The sequence below is a fragment of the Homo sapiens genome (assembly GCF_000001405.40).
Source record: "Homo sapiens chromosome 14 unlocalized genomic scaffold, GRCh38.p14 Primary Assembly HSCHR14_CTG4_UNLOCALIZED".
Taxonomy (NCBI): domain Eukaryota; kingdom Metazoa; phylum Chordata; class Mammalia; order Primates; family Hominidae; genus Homo; species Homo sapiens.
In genome coordinates this window covers 24,755-51,874 of record NT_113888.1, presented here as the reverse complement: position 1 = coordinate 51,874, position 27,120 = coordinate 24,755, and the positions used below count along the sequence as shown (strand labels likewise).

General features: G+C 44.9%; 1 long non-coding RNA gene across 1 annotated transcript in view; it reads right to left on the bottom strand.

Moving 5' to 3' along the window:
• Window positions 1-21,086, bottom strand: part of LOC105379274 (uncharacterized) — a 31,237-nt gene extending 10,151 nt beyond the window's left edge. Inside the window, exons 1-6 of the long non-coding RNA XR_007068493.1 lie at window positions 21,045-21,086; window positions 17,182-17,434; window positions 13,260-13,531; window positions 9,850-9,940; window positions 7,593-7,830; window positions 2,681-2,847 (exon numbers count right to left, since the gene is read on the bottom strand). This is a non-coding gene — a long non-coding RNA (uncharacterized LOC105379274). The remainder of the gene's footprint in view (window positions 1-2,680; window positions 2,848-7,592; window positions 7,831-9,849; window positions 9,941-13,259; window positions 13,532-17,181; window positions 17,435-21,044) is intronic.
• Window positions 21,087-27,120: the final 6,034 nt, after the last annotated feature.

Here is a 27,120-nt window from a genome sequence, read left to right as displayed (position 1 = left end):
GTGAACTCAAAGGCCCCTGAGCTGGGGGAGGTTGTTGGGTGGGGGCTTCACTCCCTGCCACCCTAGACACGATGGCCAGGGAGGGGTCAGGTGTGGGTGGGTGGTGGCTGCAGTGCCCTCCCTGCCTGCTGCAGGGGGATGCAGGTTGTCCAACACCATCCTGGGACTGGTCAGCCCTGGTGCCTCAGCCCAGTAGCAAGGAGTCCTCCAGGAGAGCCAGGAACCTCCATGGGAGGTGGGTGGAGGTGAGGCCCCTCCACGCTGTGCCCACCCCAGCCTCAGAAGGAGCTGCTGGCACTGTCCCCTCTTGAACAGCAGCACTTCTCCCAGACTCTAGGGAAGTAGCCACTAAGAGGCCCAAGAAACAATGGCTCCTTCCATGCAGGCCCCACACTCAGGCTCCCATTATCGCCCAGGCCCAGGTGGCGCTGCCCAGCCCTGTCAGGTCCCCATCAGGCTCAGGACCTCCTTGTCCCACCCTGGAGGGGGTGGCTGATGGAGAGCTGAGTGTGGGGGGTGCCAGGGGAGGGGGCCTGGGAGAAGTATTTCATCTCTGATGCCGGATGGTGGCACCAGGGTAGGAGGCACCGAGCTAGGTGTCATCCTGAGCACATGGCAGGTTTTAACTCCTTCAGACCTCATGACAGCCTATCACATGCATTTTACAGCAGGGAAAACTAAGGCCTGAGGGTCCCTGTGCCAACTGTGCTCCCACCCCAGGGACAGGTTGATGCAGGGGAGGCTAATGACAGCAGTGATGGAAGTCACTCTCAGCTAGAGAGAGGCCAACGCCCCTGGCCCACAAACTTCATGACTCAGTGCAGAGCCAGCACCTGGGGCTGCTGGGCCAGAACCCTAAGGGCTGTCTCCTCATGCTGAATTCCCTGCTGACCTCCAGATTGTCTAACCCCCACCCCTGAGGCCATCTGGACACTGGCAGCTGCTGCTAACCCACAGGCCCCTCTGTGGAGTCCCTGTTGGCCTGGCCTTGAACTCCTACCCATGGTGGAGATCAGGTGTGGCTTGCTCCAGGAAGCCTCTGGGCTCCTGGGGATTGGGAGAGTGGCCGGAGGTGACTCAGACCTCCAAAGTGGGCAGGAAGGTGGATGCCCACACTGGGCTGTTCTCAGGCTCCTCTCCCCACCCTGGGCTTCTAGCACAAGAATAAAGAAGGCTCCAGCAGCTCTTGCCTGGAAGAGACTGTGGTACCTCCTGTCCTTGGCAGTTCACAGAGGGAGGGGTTGCTGGGGGCTGCTGGCCCATGGCTGTTACTGACCGGGTCAGGGTGGGGATGGAGACGTCCAGGCCCTGCCATCTGAGGGGTGCAGGTGGGATCTGGCCCAGCTGCAGCATGGCCCTCTCCCAACCCCAGCCTGTCCTGTCCCTCAGTGAGCCCACACCCTGGAGTCAGAGCTGTGTTCTGTCCTCTGCGGAATCCAGTGGAGCCTGGACACAGCTGCCCGCTCCGTGTTGGGGTCGCCCTCGGCTGTCCCATGTCAGGGTTCCCTCATCTGCCCCCTTGTGCAGTGGCTCCTAGAGATCACTCTCACAGGCATTAGATGCATGGCTCAAGGTCGGCGCCAGAGCCCCTGGTGCAGTGCCCGCTGTCCAGCCCACACGGGCCACCCTGGGGGGCTGCTGTGGAGCCTGCAGTAACAGAAGCCTCACTCCTTCAGACCCCCACTCCCCTCCCACACAGGCTGGCCACTGGGCTGGGGCTCATGGGCTGCCTGCCTTGTGCTAAAAATGGAACCCCAGACTTTCTGGCTTTAATAATACAATCCTGACCCCCCAGGGCCCTCCCCATTTCCTGGGAGCACCCCAAACATCTTCCATGGGAAAAATAGGACACAGAAACCCAGGCATCCAGGAGCCCAAAGTCTCACACCCAGGGAGCGAAGGGCTTGCCAAGGCTCTTACCCCAGTGCCCAGCACCACTGCCAGCATCCCACAGTACAATGGGGGAGATGCTGTTGGGTGTCCATTGGGAGCCAGCCCCAGGAGCACAATGTACAGCAGCACTTTCCTGTCGCCATGGCTATGCTGCAGCCATGAGTGACCAGGGCTCTTTCTGTCCAGGAGACACCTGTCCTGCCCCATATGCTCGCACTCTGCTCTCCCTGCCCACCCTACTCTGTCCTGGCCTGGGGTCCCCGAGCCACAGTGGCTCAGCCACCAGCCCCACCAGCTGCCTGCCCAAATGGATGCTCCCCAGGCCACCCAGACCCAAGGGACTGGAGAGAGCTCTTCTCCTGTCCATTCAACCACCCCTCAGCCTCCCTCCACCCTGCCCTGCACTTGGGGAGTCTCTGTGACCAGTCCCCCACACAAGGAACTCACAGGAATGCCCCTTTCTGTTCGGGGGCAGGACTGCTGGCATCAGGGAGCATTGAGGGAAGCACATGGAGAGGGGGACTGGGGTTCCCCATGACTGTGCCCCAGCAGCCCCCCACACCTTCCCCCACAGGGGATGCTCCCAGACACTTCTGAGCTGCCATGGGTGCCCATTTCACAGGTAGGGAAACCAAGGCTCAGATCCAGGGAGCTGCAGTATGTGTGCATCCACCTGTCTTTCTCCACAAGCCCCAGGAGCTCAGGGGCAACAATGGGGAGCCCCTGCACTGGTTGCCCCTACCCTGCCACAGGCCCACAGTCTCCCCCTGGGGATGTGGCTGCCCACCTGCAAAGCTGTGTCCTCATCACCCAGGTCTGAGCCGTGCAGAGCTGGTTCCAATGGCTGCAGGCACCACAGTCGCAGAGCTGGAAGAAACAAGCATCCTCCCCAGGAGTCTGCAGAGGGAGCGCATTTCTGCCCACACCTTGATTTTGGACTTGTGGCCTCCAGAACTGTGAGAGAATAAATTCGTGATGTCATAAGCCATCACTACAGCAGCTCCCGGACACTAATATTGCTCAATCCGTCCAGGCTCCTCTCTCTGTTTGTTGCTGTTCTAGGTTTTTCTGAGACAGGGTCTGGCTCTGTCCCTCAGGCTGAAATGCAGTGGCACAATCATAGCTCACTGTAACCTCTATCCCCTGAACTCAAGCCATCCTCTTGCCTCAGCCTCCCCCACAGCTGGGACTACAGGCAGTTCTGCCATGGCTGGCCAACTTTTAAATTAGGTAACCCTTCCCAATAACTTTCACGATTAGTTAACATCTTCTACATTCCTATTTATTTTCCCCTTTTTAATACAAACATATGCCCATTAAATAAGCAAAATAGGGAAAAAAATTTAATCACCCAAAACCCTACCATCTACTTACCAGAGAGACAATAATGGCACAGGGATATAGTGCCAAATTACATTAATTTTGGTAATCCAAAGCAATAGAAAAATCTCCAGTTTTCAATTTATTCTTCTTAGATTTCTAATCAAGAAAACCTATTTTCTACACTAAAGCAAATATATACAAAAGGAAAAGACACACCTATGAAGCAAAGGGATGAACTGGAGTCCTAATGTTACAAGAGGCTGGTAGTCATTCATTTGTCATCACTGAGGTATTTTCAGAAAATAGCCATGGTTCCCAGAACTTTAACAAGCACAATAATCCACTCTTAGATACTTGAAAGTCAGATAAGAAGACATCTATCCCTTAACTAGTTGTTATACACTCTATGTAAATAAAACCATATAATTTTAATTTCCTCAATTAATTCTCACAGACAGTACCCAACCTCACATCACCATGATCTTTGACATGTCAATGTTTTATTGTAAATCGTGACAGTCTATCTACATAGAATACTCATGATTTACAATTTCAGATTGTCAACCCAGCCAGTAACCTATGTAGCACTGAATTCAAATACCAGAAAAAGGACCCAGATTCCCTCACCACCTAGCAGAGCTCAAGTGAGCTACACAGCCTGGTAGGGAATGGGGAGTAATTAAAAGGTTGTAAGCAGGTACTACTATAGTCAGATGAGTTTTTGACAGGTTATTCTAAAATCACTGAGAAAAGAAAACTGTTGTAGTATTCCAGATAAGATTATGTGGTCTGTAAAAGGACAGTGTCAAGGAAATAGAAAAGAACAATCAAGGAATTTCAAAGGGTAAACTGGATGTGATTATATAGTACCACATCAAATGAACATCAGGCTCAAAGAAGGCACGGGGGAGCAGGAGGCTGCTTTCCCCAGGTACTCTCTTTCCCAGGCTTGCCCAGCAGTCCTGGCAACTGACATATATATATATGGAAACCATCATTCTGAGCAAAATATCGCAAGGACAGAAAACCAAACACCACATGTTCTCGCTCATAGGTGGAAATTGAACAATGAGAACACTCGGACACAGGATAGGGAACATCACACACCGGGGCCTGTCGTGGGGTGGGGGGAGGGAGGAGGGATAGCATTAGGAGATATACCTAATGTAAATGATGAGATAGTGGGTGCGGCACACCAACATGGCACATGTATACATATGTAACAAACCTGCACATTGTGCACATGTACCCTAGAACTTAAAGTATAATAAAAATAAAAAATAAAAAAGTCTTCCTCAAGTTTATCATCAAAAAGTGCTACACATGATTTACAAGTATTTTCTTCCATCTTGTGAGTTGTCTTTTCACTTTCTTGACGGTGTCCTTTGAAGTGCAAAAATGTTTAATTTTGATGAAGTCCAATTCATCAATTTTTATTCTTGTTGCTGGTCTCATATTTAAGAAAACTTTGCCAAATTCAAGGTCATGACAATTTACTCCTATGTTTGCTTCTCAGGATTTTATAGTTTTAGTCCTTACATTTACGTGGATTAGCTCAAAATGGATCCATTTGATCCACTTTTTTTGCATCCATAGTTTTTGTATGTGGTGTTGGGTAAAGGTCCTATTCCAGGATTTGCATATGTTTACATATCTAGTTGTCCTTGTGCCAGTTCTCAAACTTCTTTCCCCACTGAATAATCTTGGCACCCTTGTCAAAAGCAGTGGTTATATATGTATGGGTTCATATCTGACTCTCAATTCTATCCCACTGGTCTATACATCTATCCTTCTGCCAGTATTATATTGTCCTGATTACCACTGACTTGTAGTAAGTTTTAAAGTCAGTAAGTATGAGTTCTCCTACTTTGTTCTCATTTTCAAAAGATTATTTTGGCTATTCCTAGTCCTTTGTAATTCCATATGAATTTCAGAGTCAGCTTGTCCATTTTACAGAGAACTCATCCGGGATTCTGACAGGGATGAAGTTAAATTTGTAGATGAGTTTAGGGAGTATTGCCTTCTTAACAATGTTAAGCCTTAGGTCCATGATCATGGGATACTTTTACATTTATTTAGATCTTCTTTCATTTCTTTCAAAAATGTTCTATAGTTTTCAGAGTACAAGTTTTACACTTCTTAAATATATCAGTATTTTATTCTTGTTGATGCTATGATAAATGAAGTTGCTTTCTTAATTTCATTTTCTGATTGCTCATTGTGAGTATGTAGTACTCAGTTAAAGTGTGTCAAATACTATTGATTTTTGTATATTGATCTTGTATCCTGCAACCCTGATGAACACAAGGGATTTGTGTCTGGGGTACATAAGGAACAATTACAATTCTGTAATAAAAAGACAAAACAACCCAATTAGAGATAGACAATTCAAGAATGGATAAACAAACTGCAATACATGCAAACAAATGGAATATTATTCTGCAATTTAAAAAATGAGCTATCAAGCCATGAAAAAGCACAGAAGAACCCTAAATGTATACTGCTGGGTGAAAGAAGCCAGTCTGAAAAGGATACATACTACATGATCTATTATATGACATTCTGGGAGAGGCAAAATTAGAGAGTAAAAAGATTAGTAATGACCGGGGGTTTGGGAGGAAGAGGAGGGGGAGGAATGACTCAGTGGAGCACAGGAGATTTTTAGGGCAATGAAACTGTTCTACATAATACTGTAATGGTGGGTACATGACATTATACATTTGTCAAATCCAAAAATCTATAAAACACAGAGTGAACCCTGAAGTAAACTATGAATTTCAGATATAAGTATCAGTTCATCAAATCTAATCGATTTAGCACAGTAGCGCAAGGTGTTAAGAGTTGGGAGAACTGGGCAGGGGCACTGTAAGGGAGCATATGTGGACTCTCTGCACTTTTCTCTCTATTTTTTCTAAAACTGCTAAAAAAAAGTCTATTGTTTTTAAAATAAAATGATCCCTAGCAGGAAAAAAAAATGACAAAAGATCTCAACAAATATTTCCCCAAAGAAGATATACACATGGCCAATAAGCATGAGAAAAGACACTACCTTCAATAGGAAAATACAAATCAAAACCACAAGGAGATACAATTTCACATACATTATAATAGCTACAATTAAAAAGTCACACAGTAAGTGTTTGTGAAGATGTGGAGAAACTGAAATTTTAATACACTGCTGGAGGGAATAAAAAATAATGCAGCCATTTCAAAAAGTAGTTTGGCAGTTCCTCAATTAGACAGTTATATGCATCTGAGCAATTCTGCTCCTAGATAAACACCGAAGACAAATGTCTACACAAAAACTTATACACCAATGTTTATAGCAGCATTATTCATAATAGCCAAAAGGGGTAAACAATGTCCTAAATATCCATCAACTGACAAGTGCATAAACAAAATCCAGTGTATCCATGTAACAGAGTATCATGTGGCCATAAAAAGTAAGTACTGATACATGTCACAGCATAGACAAACCTTGCAAGTATTATGCCAAGTGAAAGAATCCAGTAACAAAAGCCCATATGATAGATAATCCCATTTATATGAAACACACGCAATAGGGAATCCAGAGGCAGAAAGATTGGTGATTGCCAGTGCTACAACTGCGGGGGTGCAGATGATGTATGTGGAGAGACAGAATTGAAAGCTAAACGGCACAGGAGGCAGGGTGTTGTGGTCCATGCCTGTACTCCTAGCTACTAGGGAGGCTGAGATGGGAGGATTGCTTGAGCCCAGGAGTTCAAGGCTGCACTAAGCTATGATTACACCACTGTACTCCAGCCTGGGCTGGTCGACTGAGCAAGACCCCATCTCTTAAAATAAATAAATAAATAAATAGAAAGAAAATAAGCTAAAGGGCATAGGATTTTTTTTTGAGGTGGAAAAACAATTCTAAAATTGATTGGAGTGTTGGTTCCCAACATCTGTGAATATACTGAAAACCACTGAACTATATACTTCGAGTGGGTGAATTACATGGCATGTAAACTGCCAATAAAGCTGTTTTAGAAATCCTAATATTTGCTGTGCTATAACTTCAGCAAAGTACTGCAGGGCAATAATTGCAGAGCCAACCCTATCATTACAGTATGACACAGGAAAACTTAAAACTGCACTTACGATCAAGCTATATGCAGAGCATATTAGCACACCAAAAATAAATGACTACACTAAAGACCCATCCTTCAAGGATTACAGAATTTAAGTGCTGAAAAGGAGAGTAAAACTACTCTGTTTTTTTAAAAAAGGTAAGAACTCACAACTTAATTAGTCACTTGTAAAATTCTGGATTGCTAAGAGATTTTCAGATATAATTTAAAAGAAAACACACGACCAAGACAATAATGAAAATCTATACGTAAATTTACTATTACCTTTAGCTTCTGAACGCACAGCCAAAAATCCATCTTCTGTCACTGCTTTAAACAAAGGTCTGACTCCTTATGTATCTCTGTCCAGGGACACTTTCTTATTGGCAGAATCCAGTAAAACAAATGCAAACACACCAACCAACGTACAAATTGTTTGCTCAATTCCTCCTTTGTCATAAAGATGAAGGATTATCTCACCATCCACTTTGGTCTGGTATTCAAATTCAAACTGGTGCTGCACCTTAGTAAGCAATAGCAAAACCAAGACATTATAGACTCCTTGTGCATCCACTAATAATTTTTATCACAAAGTTGCTTCAGTATTTCTGGAGCTTTAAAATCATTTCATGCACTTTGGTGATTTAGGAGAATCATAGCATTATCAACCTAGGGTTTGCTTCAACTCATAATTCTGCAAATTCTGTTCAACATAAAGCTGAACCCATGAAAGTTTTAGTTGCAGTCTGATAAACAGAATATAACGGGAATGTACCAGAATAGTAACCTGTAGAGGAATGGAAATTCATATTTTATACATACTATGTATGTGATACATAAATATTTTATATATGCAGATTGAGTATCCCTTATCTGAAATGTTTGGAACCAGAAGTGTTTAGGGTTTCGGAATTTTTTTTTGGATTTTATAATATTTGCATCTACGTGAGATATCTTGGCGATGAGACCCAAGTCTAAATGTGAAATTCACTTATGTTTCATATATCTTATACACATAGCCTACAGGTAATTTTATATAATATTTCAAATAATTTTGTGAATGAAACAAAGTTTGTGTACATGGAACCATCAGAAAGCAAAGGTGTCACTATCTCAGCTTCCATGTGGAAAATCTGTGGCTGTCTGACATCACTGACCATCATTTCTGACTCTGAATTTATATGCTACTGATGAGCAATCATTTTCACACAATTATTCACACATAAGTAAAAATATGACATGCCATTAATACAGTAAAAAATAATAAGCAACACAGTAGCATCACCAGAATACCTGCATCAGCTGTTAAACAGCTGTATAAACAATGGCAAGCTTTCAGGCTCCACCTACAAGGCTGCGTTTTGATTAAAAGGTTACTGTACATTGTATTTTTTTTCTTTTTTTAGGTGAGAAGAAATATCAGGAGTTGAGCAACTAGGAGGTGAGTCCTCTGAGGCTGAGGAGGCATTCTGCCAGATGGTTTTTTATAATGTTTCTCCAGAGTCATCTGCCTCATTATCAAGGGCTTTTGTCTTGGAAGTCTCTCTTTAATTTTATAAACTGACATGACCTCTTGTTCTGTTATGAATGCAGGTAGCTCTAGTCCTTCAATATCTTCAATATCTCTATCACACATTTTCACCATGTCATCTATACCTTTACACTACAGTCCAATTTCTCCAACAGCTTGACTTTCTGTGTTCTAAGTGTTTCTACTTTTCCTTATCATTGCTGCTCGCAGGGATATCTACAGGCCTTATTGACATTTTCAGTATGCTAACACCACAGAGCAGAGAATAAGAAAAATACACAACGAGTCATGCACTTAGGTCCCATCTGTGGGGATCCTGCCATTGGCTTGTCCAGCTTGCACATGTGCCATTCTGTGACCCTTTGTGTGTGTGCTTGCATGGGGAAATCTGAGCATGTGTAGAAAAGTTATACTGCAGCTGAAGGGGGCTGAGAGGGTCTTTTTTCATTAGAGAACATCAAATAAACTGTGTGTTGTTCACCTGCACTTTGACTAGGACATCAAAATCCACATGTGGTGTCATGTCAGTGCTCAAAAAGTTTCAGATTTTGAAGCATTTCAAATTTCAGATTTTCAGATTAGGGATGCTCAACCTGTAAATTTAATTTAAGGTAATATGTTGCTTGGTTGCCGTGACACTAAAAAACGTGTCTTCTGCAACTGTCAACTTTTGGTTTAAGAAGACAGTATTGGCTAAGAAGTTCCTCCAGTTCAGCTTCAAAGACCTAGCTATAAAAATGTAAAGCAAAGGGACAAACATCATTTGGCGTCATTCCCTGAAAAATAAATGGCTCCATCACAATAACAGATACATGATCCAAAACAAAGCTGCTTGTCCTCAGGTGAGGACGACAACGCCCAGTGCTCCCACCACTGCAGTAGCATTAAAACTACTGCTCACTGAGAGATAAAATGATGGTGGCACTTTATTAGTCTGCATGCCCCAAAGGAACAGCAAAGGGACTGTCTGCCACTGCATGCAGAGCAAGAAAGTTTGATTAGGCTACTCACCAATTCTGACACTCTCCAGCATCACTGGCAAACTATGAGGATGAAAAGTCCTTGATGTATTTCTCTTTGTATGTCATACTCACATTTTTGGCTGACATTAGAGAAATAAGAGGTTTAAATCAGGTGGGAATCCTAGGTTAAGTTTAAAACATGTTTTGAAATCTCAAAAAGTAAACCTATTATGTATGTGCACGACCCATAAATACGCTTCACACTCCATCCAGCTCACTGCATAATTTGTGAACCTTTTATCTGTAAGCCCTCAATGAACTGTCCAAAAATGGGCTTTGCCTCCAGTGACTATAAAGTCACTACCTGGTCACCCCTCTCTGCTCTATCAGGGATGATCTGTAACTAGCAGGTGGGGTCTGGAAACAGTCTTCTGCTGACTGTCCTGGGCTGAACTGCCTGAAGGGTAAGTCACTTACCACTTACTTTATGGTCACTTACCATAAAGCATGGAAAACTGTCATTAGCTGAAAAAAATAAACCCAGCACCTAGGACAATAAATACATGCCATACACTCCCAAATAGATGACGAGTCTCCAATTTGTTTTCTGCCTCTTAGGAGCTTATAAAACTAAAGTTCACAATTAATGGGGAAGGGAGGAGACAGATGATCTTCATTGCCTTAGTTATAAACTTGCTTTGGTCTATGGTGATCCTGTGTTAAACTGTGAAATAGAATCTATCATCCTGGCTCTCTGAGGCCCTTGACTTCACCCTTTTAGTGCTTTTCTTACTTATTTTCAAACCTTCACCTCTCTCACATTGAAAACCCCAACTCTTAATACCCTCTCTAAAAAACTACCCCTTCCCACCAACCACCACCACCACCGACCTCACTCTATCATCTAAATCTGTTTCAAGATATAAAAATCTTGGTAATTTAGATCTTAACACAAATTGCCTACTACCTTTTCAAAAAGCAAGTTAAGCCTGATTCTAATTGTGGGATGAAAAGTTTTTTCCCTAGGAAGAAATTTTAAATATCATCAAGCATGTTGAGAGGTGCTAGCGAGGGCATGGAGCAAGGAATCAAATTCCATAGGTGATTGTTTTCTCTATCTTTGTATAAAAATGTCCTTGCCCCAATTAAAGCCTCCACCAAGTATAAAAAGAAAGCGTTTGGTGATATTAGCAAGCAACAGTTTCCCAAATCTACCTTGCCCACCTCTTTGGCCTAAACTCTGCAGGTAATTTATTCTAAAAAGAGAAGTGTCCTTTGGGTAACAGATGTATCACTTCCTACTCTCTTAAACCAAACTCCGATGCTGCATCTTAGATAAAAGCCCTCAAATCTGGCCTCCTGAAGTCATGCTGTCATTTAACTTGGCTGCAGACCCCTGATACTCCCCTGCAGGGAGAGAGTCTGCTCTTTGTCCCAGCCTTTACCCCATTCCTACTTTCTTTAACTCAGTCCCCCTCCACTCCCAGCACACCTCTGGCTGTATTTTATTATTAGTAGTAAGCTTTATTTTTATCAAAAAGGGGGTAGGGGGTATTTTTGACCTTATGTTGCAGAATACTTTATATAAGCCTAAAATATGCATTCTGTTCATTAGATTTCTAGCTGCCCCAACTACATAAGCTGAGATGCTTGGTAGAAGCAATGGAACAAACTTCTCTAGTTTTACAAATATAACTTTTGACTAATTTAGAACAGAAATTAATTAATTTCAAAATATTTAACTTATTTTAGCTTTTTAGAAAAAAAAACACTATCTGAGTAAAACAGAGCACTTCCTATTTCATTTAAGGAGAAAGCCAAGCTGATAATGCCATCATACTACCTAGCTTTCTCATGCATATGACACTGATTTGACTTAGAAAGAAAAAAGTTTTAATACTCTCTTCTACTTCCCACTAGCAGGAAATTCCATTCTTGCCTTTCCTTTTCACCATTTCATCTACAATCACCTAGAAAAATGATATCTGGTGCATATTAGGTCCTTAATAAAGGAATAAAGAAATGTGTGAAAGGAATTTCTTGAATAACTATTTTAAAACTTTTTGAACAAGAAGACTATTATTAAGAGTGTTCCCGTGAGCAGGCAACAAACAATGACAAAAGCTATTATTCAGAGATAAAAATGTCCAAAACATGGTTAGGATATAACTCTCTATCAGTGCCTGACAGGTATCTATCAAGAAGTCTCAGAAAAAATACCAAGAAACATCACAACCAAATGCATGAATCTTGAATGAAATCTGGCTCTAAACAAACAAATACCAGCTATAAAGATATTCTTGGTAGCACTTTGAGGGGCCAAGGTGAGCAGATTCCCTGAGCTCAGGAGTTCCAGACCACCCTGGGCCCAGTCTTTACTAAAATACAAAAAATTAACCAGGCATGGTGACAGGTGGGCCTGTCGTCCCAGCTACTCAGGAGGCTGAAGAAGGAGAATCGCTTGAACCCAGGAGGCAGAGGTTGCAGTGAGCCGAGATCGCAACACTGCACTCCAGCCTGGGTGACAAAGTTGAGACTCTGTCTCAAAAAACAAAAAAATTCTCCAGACACTTAGCGAAATTTAAGTATTAACTGGATATTAGGTGGCATTATGATTTTTTTTTTTCATTTTTGAGACAGAGTCTTGCTCTGTCTCCCAGGCTGGAGTACAGTGGCTGAAGCTTAGCACACTGCAAGCTCCACCTCCCAGGTTCACACCATTCTCCTGCCTCAGCCTCCCGAGTAGCTGGGACTACAGGTGCCCACCACCACGCCTGGCTGATTTTTTTTATTTTTGTATTTTTAGTGGAGATGGGGTTTCTCCGTGCTAGCCAGCATGGTTTCAACCTCCTGACCTCGTGATCCACCCACCTCAGCCTCCCAAGGTGCTGGGATTACAGGCGTGAGCCACCGCACCCAGCCAGGTGATATTATGGATTCTTAGGTTTAATAATGGTATTGATGTTATGTAGAAAAATGTCCTTATTCTTAGGAGATAAATGCTTATATATTTAGGAGTGTCACAAAATCTGCACCATACTCTCAAATGATTTGGCAAAAAACTGTGTGTGTGTGTGTATGTGTGTGTGTATGTGTGTGTGTGTAGAAAGAAAAATCAAGCAAATATGGCAAAACATTAATGATTATTCAATCTAGGTGCTCACTATTCTGTTCTTTTCTGTATGTTAGAATTTTTTTCAAAACAAAAAGCTGGGGAGAAGGAGAAAAAATTCTAAGAGTCAAAGAAACTGTGTAATCCCCATTTTTATCACTTTTTTGTGACCAAGTGATTTCACTCACCATTTTATTCATCAGTTCCCTATCTACATACTTAGAGCAAATGAGATAACATAGAATGCTTTGCAAAGTAAAAAGCATGATACAGAATATATAATCTCATCGTAACCAACAAGCTCTGAAGTTTAATCACATCCACACATCTGGCTTCTTTTCCCCTACCTTCTTATGGTTGTAGATTTCACCATTGTAACAGAGCCACATATATGGATATGTCTTCACTTAAATTGTCTGCATTCCAAACAGCGGGTCCACTACCACCAATGGGTGAAATCCAAAGCAGCAGCTGGTGTATCCATTAACATTCTCAAAACAGGATGCATCTGGACCCCTGTGTGCAATCTTCATAGCACACAGACACTAAACAAAAAGGCAGTCATTGCTGTCAAACAGGACCCAAATGCCACACACAGTGCAATGAAGCTATAAGCTCCCTATGGAGAGAAAAGTAGACAAATCAAAAATATTCAATATCCAATCCAAGTCCGTGTTAAATCTTGATTCCAGAAACGTGCATAAACCACTTCAAAGACTAAAATTTAAACCATCTTTTCTATAGCGATTTCCCATTTGGTTGGCAGGCATACAGGAGTAAAGAATGATTTAATTTACTTACAAATATTCAGAAAAGATAGTGACCTCTACATTCAACCAGCTACAGCAGCTTAGCACCCAGCCAAAGGCTGCATCTCTCCCACCTTAAGATTTAGTGGTTGGCTAGAGTTAGCAGCATCCAGGCCACATCTATCTCTGCATTCTAAGTTTGCTTCCAAGATAAAGATACAAATGCAGGCTGGCTCCAACCTAGCCAGAGATCCCAGCCCCACTCTCTGCATCCCAAAATCCCTCAAAGACTCAAGAGACTTTCCAGATTTCTACAGTCTCCTCACAGGTTCCCTTGACAGTTAAATGCCCTCTCTTTACCTCAACTAGCTGCAGGTAGAATATAATGGGCACAAGAGAAAATCACTGTAAGTGTAATATGAAGATACACAGCCCTTTTAAGCATTTCATTATATTACATCTAGCTTACTTCTAAGGGATTTATTCAGATGTGACTGAAGAAAGTCTAAAGGGAAAAAAAGCAATTTAATTTGATAAATTAAATTATCAATTATAGCCAAATTATTTGGCTATAACAAATTAAACATTTTAAGCTGACAGAAGATGCAAACATTTTAAGTTGACAGAAGATATAAAATGTTCACTATCAAAATGTCACAACTGATAAAAATGTTCTCAAATATTTCTGTCTCAAACTTGCATTGTTCATTAAGGAAGCAAAATAGGTGGGACATACACAGCAACAACATACCTCAAAAAACAACTTGGCTCATTCCTATAAGCCAGGCAGCAAATACATCATCCTTACATATGTTAATTACCTTCCAATTTCAAATTCTCAACTGTGAAATAAAGGGCCATTTTATTTGTCTGCTGCCAGTACAATATGACTGTTTTTATTAAAACATCTCTAACTTGAGAAATATTTGGTGTTTTCTAAAAAACTGCAAATTGCAGCAAATGGCCAGATAATTTGGAATAAACACCCTACAGAAAAAATATATATTCAAGTTGCATAAGTCACTTTGAGCAATCCTTTGTGGATATTTCATTTATATCTAAATGAACCACAGGTTTAGCTGGCTTTTCTGGAAAACCAGAAGCAAATAATGTATGATTATAATGAAAACCATCTCAAGCAATTTGGAAATGAAGTACCACATGTCCTATGCTGTCCCTTCCATAAACTTGACAAAACAGCCTATAACAAATTGTTTACTTTGAGATTTAGTAGGAAAATTCCATGAGATTTAAATGAGATGACTACTAATAAGCCATCTACATTTGACTCTATTCCAATTAAAAATGGGTTAGGAAAGTGCTTTGAATATCAAGTGTGTTCATCAGGGAATCATTTACCTAAGTCTTCCTAACACTGTTTAGTGAATATTAAGCCTGATGTAGTAAATACACGCTAACCACTAAATTGAAGGGGAAAGAGGGAGAACAAAGAGGCATGTAAAGTACACTTACTTCTTCTAGTAGGAAAAAGCCAATTAAAACTATCACCTATTAGTTTTATTGGAATCAGTCTTACAGGAGGTCAAACTTCCTACTGTCGCTACCTATTCTCAATATTTTTCTTATTTCTTCCTAAACTTCTAGAGCTGTGCTGTCCAATAAATATGTGAGCCACGTATGTAATTTTAAATGTACTAGTAAGCCCCATTAAAAGAAAAGGTGAAATTAATTTTAAATATACTTAACTCAGTATGTCCCAAATAGTAATCATAGTAATAATTTTAACATGTAATAAATATAAAAAAAATCAAGCAGATATTCTACACTGTTCTTCCCACTCCAACGACAAAATCCAGTGTATTTAACACAACACATCTCAATTAGGACTAGCCAGGATTACAAGTGCTCAACAGTTACAGGTGACTAGCACCTACTGAATTGGACACTGCAGTTTCAGTGCATTGAATTTCTATCCCACTTAGCGCTAATTAAAACTTCACCCTCTCACCTGACAATGATGCTAAGATCTCAGTAAGTAACCAACTACAGGCAGTTTCAAGCCCTACTTTACCTCTAATTACTCTTACAGCAATGCAATGAATCATGATTTAAAAAAAAAAAAAAAACTGCTGTTAAATTATTAGTCAAGTGCCCAGGGCAATGGACAGTAAAGAAATAATGTAGGCCATGGGCCGAGATGACAAAACGGTCCTTTTATTTAAAGCTATAATAATCTGAAGCCAGCCCTGTAAAATAGACATCCATTGAAAAAGGCATGCTAGTTCTTTTGCTTTTTTGTGTACTTGGCCTCCTGTGTCCCTAAACAGATCTCTTCTCAGCAGAGTTTGCTCAGCAAGTCACTTGATGAGTCTTGCAGTCTACAGAGGGGGTAGGGAATGGCAGGAGTTGGCATAGGAGTGAGAGGGGAGGAGGCAAGGTGAGGGGGGCCAGGTGAGGAGGGTGGCACTTGAAGGGGAGTTCAAGACTAGCCTGGGCAACATGGTGAGACCACTGCCCCTCACCACCGCCATCTCTGTTCTCACTCTGGTCTCACACACATGCACAAATTAAATTTAATTTAAAAATTAAAAAATTGTTTTAAAATAAGTGAAGTATTTACATGGATTATGTATACATTCATTTTGTAGAACTATAGATCCCATGTAACTGGGAACTCTTTACTCTTCTAACACAACATTTATTTAGCCACAAATAAAAGAAGACCAGTGATGTAGCCTGTACACAAAAAAGTAAGAAAACACTGGTTAGGCTGGGGCAGGGGTAGGGGGAAGAGATCTACAAAATTAAAATTTTATTGGGAAGCATCACTAATTAGAATCAGAACAATTACTGCTTTAAAGTAGTTAAGAACAGAGCACAAGGAACCCAGAGAAGAAGCAGATATGATTCAGAGCAGAGCTCACAGAGCAGATGGTATCTGAGCTGAGACTGATAGAATAACATTAATAAGGACATTCACAGCCATTTATTATCACTTAACTGCAATGTATTTTGTATAAGTTATTTCTACTCTTCATATCAACCATGGAAAATAATACTTATTCTTTTCTTTTGAAGTTAAGGAAGTGGTAAGTGGTCTAAGAAGATAAATTAACATACTAACACCAAATAGCTCAAGTTCAGTGACTCAAGAGTGCCCGCGTCACTCCAAGAGGTTGCTCAGCAGGCAGACGAGGTAGAGAGCCCTTCCAAGAAGTGACAGTGAGATGTGAAAGGTCTCAGTGTGTCTCTGAGAACAACAGAAACCAGTAAGTAGACCAAGTGGGAAAAGCCATGAAAGAGGCAGGGATTTCCTCTTAAGATAGCAAGAATAAACAGAGCAGGGCTGAGGGAAGCCATGGAAAATGGGCAGAATACCATGCATTTAGTGAGAAAAAAACAACTTTTACTTTAGAAAGGGGGAAAGAATGGTGGTGGTCTAGGTAAGCCTAGAAGCAGAGGAAAGGGCAGTGGAGGAAAAATATACAAAATGTATTAGTCAGGTTTCTCCAGAGGGACAGAACCAACAAGATACACGTATATGTATAAGGGAGTTTACCAGAGAGAATTGGTTCACACGGTTAGAAGGCAGTCCCACAACAGGCTGTCTGCCAGGTAGGGAAAGAGAGAAGCTAGTAGTGGCTCAGTCCAAGTCCAAAAGCCTCAAAACCAGGAAAGCCCGCAGTGCAGTCTTCAGTCTGAGGCCGGGGGCCTGAGAGCCTCGGGGAAGCCACTGGTGCAAGTCCCAGAGTCCAAACGCATAAGAACCTGGAGTCTCATGTCCAAGGGCAGGAAGAAGGGAAGCAAGTTTCCTGCACGGGAAGAAGAAAAAAAGAGAGCCAGAAGCTTCAGCTAGCAAGGTTATCCCACCTTCCTCCGCCTGCTTTGTTCTATACAGTGCAGCGTGTGTACACCACTTCTGTGATATTGTTTCTAATATCCATGGGAAGAAAGGGTGATGTTACTCCCAATAGCGCATGGGGGTGTACATCCCCTGTGATATTATTCCTAGTATGCAGGGGCAGGGAAAGGATGACATTACTCCCAATATCGCAGAGGGTGTTCTCCCCGCCTTGTGATATTGTTCCTAATATTTAGGGGATAGTGGGTGATATTACTCCCAATATCACAGGGGGTGTGCAGCCCCCGTGGTATTCTTTCTAATATCCGGTGGGGGGAGAGGTTGATATTACTGTCAATGACACAGGGGGTGTACATCCTCCCATGGTATTGTTCCTAATATCTGGGGGGGAGAGGATATTACTGTCAATATCACAGGGGTTGTAGACCCCTTCAGTGATATTGTTACTAATATCTGGGGGAGAGAGGATGATATTACTGTCAATATCACAGGGGGTGTACACCCCCCCGTGGTATTGTTCCTTATATCCCCAGGGGGGGAGAGGAAATTGTCAGTATCACAGTGGGTGTACACCTCTTCTGTGATATTGTTCCTAATATCCAGGGGGGTAGAGGATATTACTGTCAATATCGCAGGGAGTGTACAACCCTTCTGTGATATTGCTCCTAATATCCAGGTAGGGAGAGGATCATATCACTTTCAATATCACCAAGTGTGTACATCCCTCTTGTGATATTTTTCCTATATTTAGGGGATAGTGGATTATATTACTGTCAATATCACAGGGGCTGTGCACCCCCCCATGGTATTGTTCCTAATGTCCAGCAAGGGATAAAACACTACTACTCCCAGTATGGCAGGGGGTGTACAAGTCCTATGCGATGTTGTTCCTGTATCCATGGGGGAAAATGATATTGGGAACAATATTACAAACAATATCACAGGCGGGTGTACGTGTCCTGCGATATGAGGAGTAATATAACCCTCTCCCCATCTGGATATTACAAACTGTATCACAGAGGGGTGTAAACCCCCTGGGATGTGGAAAGTAGTATCATCCTCTCCCCTACTGGATATTACAAACAATATCACAGATGGTGTACACATGAGGTGTTTACGATATTGGGAGTAATATCATATCTCCCAGTGGATATTATGAACAATATCACAGAGGGGTGTATACACACTCTGCCTTATAGGGAGTAATATACTCCTCTCCCACCCTGGATATTACGTCACAGGGAGGTGTACATCCCCTGTGATACAGGGAGTAATATCATCCTTTTCCAGCCTGGATATTACAAACAATATGGCAGGGGGCAGTACACCCTGGCGATATGGGTAGTAACATCATCTCCTCCCCGCGTGGATATTATGAACAATATTCTAGGGGGTTGTACACACCCTGCAATATGGGGAGTAACATCGTCCTCTCCCCCACTAGATATTATAAACAATATCGCAAGGGGGGTGTACACTTCCTGCAATAAAAGGAGAAATATCATTCTCTCCCCCTAGAGATATTATGAACAATATCGCAGGGATTTGTTCTCCCATGCTATATGGGGAGTAATATCTTCATCTTCCCCCTGGATATTACGAAAAATAACGCAGGGGAATGTAAATCCCCTGCGATATGGGGAGTAAAATCATTCTCTCTGGCTAGGCGCGGTGGCTCACACCTGTAATCCCAGCACTTTGGGAAGCCGAGGTGGGTGGATCACGAGGTCAGGAGATCGAGATCATCCTGGCTAACATGGTGAAACCCCGTCTCTACTAAAAATACAAAAAATTAACCGGGCGCGGTGGTGGGCGCCTGTAGTCCCAGCTACTAGGGAGGCTGAGACAGGAGAATGGTGTGAACCTGGGAGGCGGAGCTTGCAGTGAGCCAAGATCAGGCCACTGCACTCCAGCCTGGGCGACAGAGCGAGGGTCTGTCTCAAAAAAAATAAAATAAAATCATTCTCTCCCTCCCTGGATATTATGGTGGGAGCGCGAGCGGGCTCGGGGGTTGCCAGGCAGCTGCTGCCTGCACACAGAGGGCGACTGCAACTTGGGCGCCCAGGCGGCGGAGCATGGTCTGGGTGGCCTCTGGAATGTGTGAGCGCCAGACCTGAGGATCACCCTGGTGGAGCCACCTACCCCGGTCTTCCTCTGCTGGAGCCTGGAGCAGCTGGAATGGCCACTATTCAGTCACAGGGGATAGAGTTAAGTTTTCTTATCCCACACATGCACACAAAAAGGTAACTATTCTGTGAGGTAATAAACATGTTAATTGACTTCATTCATGCCGCTCTGCACCCACAAGTAAGGGTTTCATAACAATGACACAGAAAATAAATGTTGCTAAGGAGGTGGAGAAGTTGGAGCCCTCATGAACTGGCTGCTAGGAATAGAAAATGATGCCCTTGCTGCAGAAAACAATTTGGTTGTTCCTCACAGAATGAGCATTGGGTGAAAAATGAAATCAAGATGGAAATGTAAAAAATTTCTTCGAAATGGATGACACAACCTATCAAGACCTCTGGGATACAGCATAGGCACTGCTAAGAGCAAACTTTGTAGTCCTAAAAACCTACGTCAAAAAGTCTGAAAGAGCACAAATAGACAATCTAAGTTCACATCTCAGGGAACTAGAGAAGCAGGAACAAGCCAAACCCAATCCCAGCAAACACAGGAAATAACCAAGATCAGAGCAGAACTAAATGAAATTGACACAACAACAAAAAATACAAAACATAAATAAAACAAAAAGTTGGTTATTTGAAAAGATAAATAAAATTGATAGACCATTAGCAAGATTAACCAAGAAAAGAAGAGAGAAAATCCAAATAACCTCACTAAGAAATGAAACAGGGGATATTACAACTGACACCACTGAAATAATAAAGATTATTCAAGGGTACTATGAACACCTTTTGGCACATAAACTACAAAACCTAGAAGAGTTGGATAAATTCCTGGAAAAATACAACTCTCCTAGCTTAAATCAGGAAGAATTAGATACCCCAAGCAGACCAATAAAGCAAGCAGCAAGACTGAAATGGTAATTTTAAAATTACCAGCAAAAAAAGCCGAGGACCAGACAGATTCACAGCAGAATTCTACCAGACATTCAAAGAATGTCTTCTTTCATTCAAAGAAGAAATGATACCAAACTTTTCATACTATTCCACAAGACAGAGAAAGAAGAAACCCTCCCTTATTCATTCTATGAAGCCAGCATCACCCTAATACCAAAACCATGAAAGGACATAACCAAAAAAGAAAACTACAGACCAATATCCTTGATGAACGCAGATGCCAAAATCCTTAACAACATACTATCTAACTGAATCCAACAACATATCAAAAAATAATCCACCATGATCAAGTGGGTTTCATACCAATGATATACGAGTGGTTTCACATATGCAAGTCAATAAATGTGATACACCAAATAAACAGAATTAAAAAAATCTAATATGATTATATCAACAGGTGCAGAAAAAACATTTGACAAAATCTAGCATTGCTTTATGATTAAAGCTCTCAGCAAAATAGGCATACAAGGGACATACCTTAATGTAATAAAAGCCATCTATGACAAACCCACAGCCAACATAATACTGAATGGGGAAACAGTGAAAGCATTCCCTTTGAGAACTGGAACAAGACGAGGAGCCTACTCTCACCACTCCTCTTCAACATAGTACTGGAAGTCGTAGCCAGAGCAATCAGACAAAAGAAGGAAATAGAGGAAATCCAAATCGGTAAAGAGGAAGTCAAACTGTCACTTGTTGCTGATGATATGATCTTTTGCGTAGAAAACCCTATGGACTCCTCTAGAAAGCTCCTAGAACTGATAAAAGAATTCAGCAAAGTTTCCAGATACAAGATTAATGGACACAAATCAGTAGCTCTTCTATACATCAACAGCTACCAAGCAGAGAATCACATCAAGAACTCAACCCCTTTTACAATAGCTGCAAAAAACAACAACAACAACAAAAAACTTAGGAATATACCTAGCAAAGGAATCAAAAGACCTCTACAATGAAAATTACAAAACACTACTGAAAGAAATCATAGATGGAGCCAAGAACGGTGGCACATGCGTATAATCCGAGCTACACGGGAAGCTGAGGCAGGAGAATCGCTTGAACCCGGGAGGCAGAAGTTGTAGTGAGCCGAGATCACACCATCGCACTCCCACTTCAGCGACAAGAGCGAAACTCCCTCTGGAAAAAAAAAAAAAAAAAAGAAAGAAAAGAAGTCATAGATGACAAAAACAAATGGAAACGCATCCCCATGCTCATGGATGGGTAGAACCAATATTGTGAAAATTACCATTCTGTTAAAGGCAATCTACAAATTCAATGCAATCCCCATCTGAATGCCACCATCATTCTTCACAGAATTACAAAAACAATTCTAAAATTAATATGGAACCAAAAGAGAGCCATGTAGCCAAACCAAGCCTTAGCAAAAAGAACTTGGAGGTATCACACTACTTGATTTCAAACTGTACAATAAGGCCATAGTTACCAAAACACCAATGTACTGGTTTAAAAATAGGAACATAGACCAATGGAACAGAAGAGACAATCCAGAAATTAAACCAAATACTTACAGCCAACTGATCTTCGAGAAAGTAAACAAAAACATAAAGTGGGGAAAGGACCCCCTTTACAATACATGATGTTGGGATAATTGGTGAGCCACATGTAGGGGAATAAAACTGGATTCTCATCTCTCATCTTATACAAAAATCTACTCAAGATGGATTAAGAACTTAAATCTAATTCCTGAACTATAAAAATTCTAGAAGATAACACTGGATAAACCCTTCTAGACATTGACATACGCAAGGATTTCATGACCAAGAACCCAAATGCAAATACAATAAAAACAAAGATAAATAGCTGGGACTTAATTAAACAGCTTTTGCATGGCAAAGGGAACAGTCAGCAGAGTAAATAGACAACTCACAGAGTGGGACCCCTGAACCTGACCCTGACCCCTGACCCTGACCCCTAACCCCTGACCCCTAACCCCTGACCCTAACCCTAACCCCTAACCCTAACCCTTAACCCTTAACTGTAACCCCTAAGCCTAACCCCTAACAACAACCCTCACCCTCACACTAATCCAACCCTAACCCCTTATCCCTAACCCCTAACCTCTCTTAACCCTTAACTCTAAACGTTGACTCTTAACTCCTAACTCTGACCCCAACACCTATCTCCAACCCCTAACCCTAAACTTAACCCCTAACCCCTAACCCTAACACCAACCTTAACCCTAGGTTCGTTACTACGTTTGTATTGACTATGTCAATGTTAATTATTATGATCTGTCTTAGGACTGCATGGCAGCAAGGGGATTGCGGATCTTATATTAATATTTTTGTATTGAGGCAGTGCATTAGCATTACAGGTGCTTGTTACATGAGCAATGGGCGTGTCATATTTTGGGTGTCATGTCCGCATTAGGAATGTTGCATTTGTCTTCTGAGGCTGCGGTGTGGATCTCGCACTGCGGCGCCTCGCCTTGGCTGGGGAGAACCTCGGTGGGTAGGATTCAGAGGGGCTTTTGGTTTCCCTTTTCCACACTGAACCCTTCTTACTGGTCGCTGACCCTGATTACTCAGGGCTGCAAACAGGAAGGATTTTATTCAGCGTCTATGCGGCCCCGAGTTGTCCCAAAGCGAGGCAGTGCCCCCAAGGTCTGTGCTGAGGAGAACGCTACTCTGCCTTCGCGGTGTCCCCCGGGTCTGTGCTGAGCAGAACGCAGCTCCGCCCTCATGGAGACCCCGGCCTGCCCAGGTCTGTGTTGAGGAGAACACTGCTCCGCCTTTGCTGTATCTCCGAAGTGTGTGCAGAGGAGAACTCAGCTCCGCCCCGGCGATGCTCTCCGTGTCGGTGCTGGGAAGAACGCAGCTCCGCCCTCGCAAAGTTGCACAGCGCCGGCGCAGGCGCAGGGGGGTGGGGGCCCCACAGCGCCGGCGCAGGCGCGGGGGGCGGGGGGCCACAGCGCCGGCGCAGGCGCCGGGGGGGGGGGGAGCCCACAGCGCCGGCGCAGGCGCAGGGAGGCCCACAGCGCCGGAGCAGGTGCAGAAAGTCAGAAGGTCCATGAGGGGAAGGTGAGACACCTGGGGCAAAGAAAAAAAAAATGCGCCGCGAAGCGGTGTCTGGGTCATCCACAGACGAAAGTTTTTTCCCATCAGCCCTTGCGCTGCGCCCCAGGGACCCTGGCATCCCTGGTTCACGCCCAGGGTGCGCCTCGGGCGACTAGGGGTACCCCAACTCGGACAGAAGCCCTATGAGTGGAAGTTGAAGTTTGTGGGAGGAGAGGTGAGGCACCAGGGGCAGAAAAAAAAAAAAAAGAGGACCGCGCCTCAGAGAAGTGGGGCCTGGGTCCACCACGGATGAAAGTGCCTTCCCATCAGGCCCTATGCTGGGCGTGGTGGACCCTGGCGACCCTGGTTCGAGCCCAGGTTGCGCCTCGGGACCGCTTGGGGTACCACAAAGCGAACAAAAGGTCCATGAGGGGAAGGTGAGGCACCTGAGGCAGAGAAAAAAAAACGTGCCACCAAGAAGCAGTGCCTGGGTCCCCCACGGATGAAAGTGCCATCCCATCAGCCCCTTCGCTGGGCCCTGGGGACCCTGGCATCCCTGGTTTGACCCCAGGGTGCACCTCGGGCCAGTAGGGGTACTGCAAGGTGGGCAGAAAGCCCCTAAGGGGATGGTGAGGCACCTGGGGCAGAGAAAAAAAAAAAAACTTCGCCGCGGAGAAGCACGGCCTGGGTGCCCCACGAACGAAAGTGTCTTCCCATCAGTCCCTGCACTGGGACCGGGGACCCTGGTGTCCCTTGTTCGAGCTCAGGGTGTGCCTCAGCCGCTAAGTGAACCCCAAGGGGGGCTTTGGGCGCACAAAGCCCATGAGGGGAAGGTGAGTTTTGAGGGGAGAGGTGAGGCACCTGTCACAGAAAAAGAAAGAAAAAACCCGCGCCGTGGAGAGGTGGGGCCTGGGTCCCCCACGGATGAAAGTGCCTTCCCATCAGCCCCTGTGCTGGGTACCGGGGAACCTGGGGTTCCTGGTTTGAGCTCAGGGAGAGCCTTGGGCCACTAGGGGTACCCCAACGCGGTGGAAAGCCCATGAGAGGAAGGTGAGCTGTGAGGGAGGAGAGGTGAGGCACTAGTGGCAGAAAAGAAAAAGAAACCACGCCACGAAGAAGCGGGGCCTGGGTCTCCCATGGAAAAAAGTGCCTTCCCATCAGTCCCTGCGCTGGGCCCCGTGGACCCAGGCGACCCTGGTTCTAGGCCTGGGTGCACCTCGGGCCCGCTAGGTGTACCCCAAAGCAGGCAGAAGGCCCATGAGGGGAAGGTGAGGTTTGAGGGAGGAGAGGTGACGCACCTGCGGCAGAAAAATAAAAACGTGCCGAGGAGAAGCGGGGCCTGGGTCTCCCACAGACGAAAGTGCCTTCTCATCAGCCCCTGCGCTGGGCCTCCTGGACCCTGGCGACCCTAGTTCAAGGACCAGAAGAGACTCCGGCACGCTAGAGTACCCTAAGGAAGCCAGAAAGCCCATGAGGGGAAGGTGAGATTTGAGGGAGGAGAGGTGAGTCACCTGTGGCAGAAAAAAAAAAAATTATATATATATATATATCAGCGCCTCGGAGAAGCCGGGCCTGGGTCCCCACTGATGAAAGTGCCTTCCCATCAGCTCCTGCGCTAGCCTTGAGAACCTGGCGACCCTGGTTCGAGACCCGGGAGCGCCTTGGGCCCGCTCGTGTTACCCCAAAGCAGGCAGAAGGCCAATGAGGGGAAGGTGAGGCACCTGGGGTGGAGAAAAAAAACCGCAGCTTTGAGAAGCGGGGCCTGGGTACCCACGGATGAAGGTACCTTCCCATCAGCCCCTGTGCTGGGCCCCGGCAACCCTGGCATCCATGGTTCGAGTCCAGGGAGCGCCTTGGGCTGCTAGGGGTACCCCAAGTCGGGCAGAAAGCCCATGATGGGAAGTTGACGTTTGAGGGAGGAGAGGTGAGGAACCTGTGGCAGGAAAAAAAAAAAAAAAAAAAAAACAAGCCGCGCCTAGGAGAAGCTGGGCCTGGGTCCCCGACGGATGAAAATGCCTTCCCATCAGTCCCTGCGCTGGGCCCTGTGGACGCTGGAGACCCTGTTCGAGCCCCGGGTGCGCCTCGGGCCTGCTAGGGGTACCCCAAGGTGGGCAGAAATCCCTGAGGGGCAGTTGAGGTTTGAGGAAGGAGAGGTGAGGCACCTGTGGCAGGAAAAAAAAAAAAAACTGCACCACGGAGAAGCGGAGCCTGGGTCCCCAACGGACGAAAGTGTCTTCCCATCAGCTCTTGCGCTGGGCCCAGGGGACCCTGGCGTACCTGGTTCGAGACCAGGGTGTGCTTCAGGCCGCTAGGTGTACCCAAAAGCGGGCAGAAGGCCCATGAGGGGAAGGTGATGCACGTGGGGCAGAGAAAAAAAAAAAACAACCGCGCCGCGGATAAGCGGGGCCTGGGTCCCCCACAGAAGAAGCTGTCTTCCCATCAGCGCTTGCAATGCGCCCTGGGGACCCTGGTATCCCTGGCTGGAACCCAGCGTGCACCTCGGCCTGCTAGGGGTACCCCAAGACAGAAGGCCCATGAGGGAAAGGTGAGACACCTGGGGCAGAGAAAAAAATAAAAAACTGCGCCGCCCAGAAGTGGGGCCTGGGTCCCCCACGGACGAATGTCCCTACCCATCAGCCCTGCACTGGGCCCCGGAGACCCTAGCGTCTCTGGCTCGAAACCAGGGTGCGCCTCGGGCCCGCTAGGGGTACCTCAAGGCGGGCAGAAAGCCCATGACGGGAAAGTGAGGCAACTGGGGAAAAGAAAAAAAAAACGCCGCAGAGAAGCCGAGCCTGGGTCCCCGAGGAAGAACGTGTCTTCCCATCAGCCACTGCGCTTGGCCCCGTGGAACCTGGCTTCCATTGTTTGAGCCCAGGGTGCGCCTTGGGCCGCTAGGGGTACCCCAAAGCGTGCAGAAGGCACATGAGGGGAAGGTGAGGCACCTGGGGCAGAGAAAAAAAAAAAACCTCGCCGCGGAGAAGCGGGGACTGCGTCCCCCCCACGGACGAAAGTGTCTTCCCATCAGCCCTTGCGCTGGGCCCCAGGGACCCTGGAGTCCACAGTGCACCTCGGGCTGCTAGGTGTACCCCAATGCAGACAGAAGGCCCATGAGGGGAAGGTGAGGTTTGAGGGAGGAGAGGTGAGGCACCTGTGGCAGGAAGGAAAAAAAAAAACGCGCCACGGAGAAGCAGGGCATGGGTCCCCCACAGACGAAAGTGCCTTCCCATCAGGCCCTGTGCTGAGCCCCGTGGACCCTGGCGACCTTGACTCAAACCCAGGGTGCGCCTTGGGCCGCTAGGGGTACCCCAAGGCAGGTAGAAAGCCCATGAGGGGAGGTTGAGGTTTGAGGGAGGAGAGGTGAGACACCTGTGGCAAGAAAAAAAAAAACCGCGCCGCTGAGAAGCGGGGCCTGGGTCCGCCACAGACGAAAGTGTCTTCCCATCAGCCCTTACGCTGGGCGTCAGGGAACCTGATGACTCTGGTTCGAGCCCAGGGTGCGCCTCACTCCACTAGGAGTACCCCAAAGCAGGCAGATG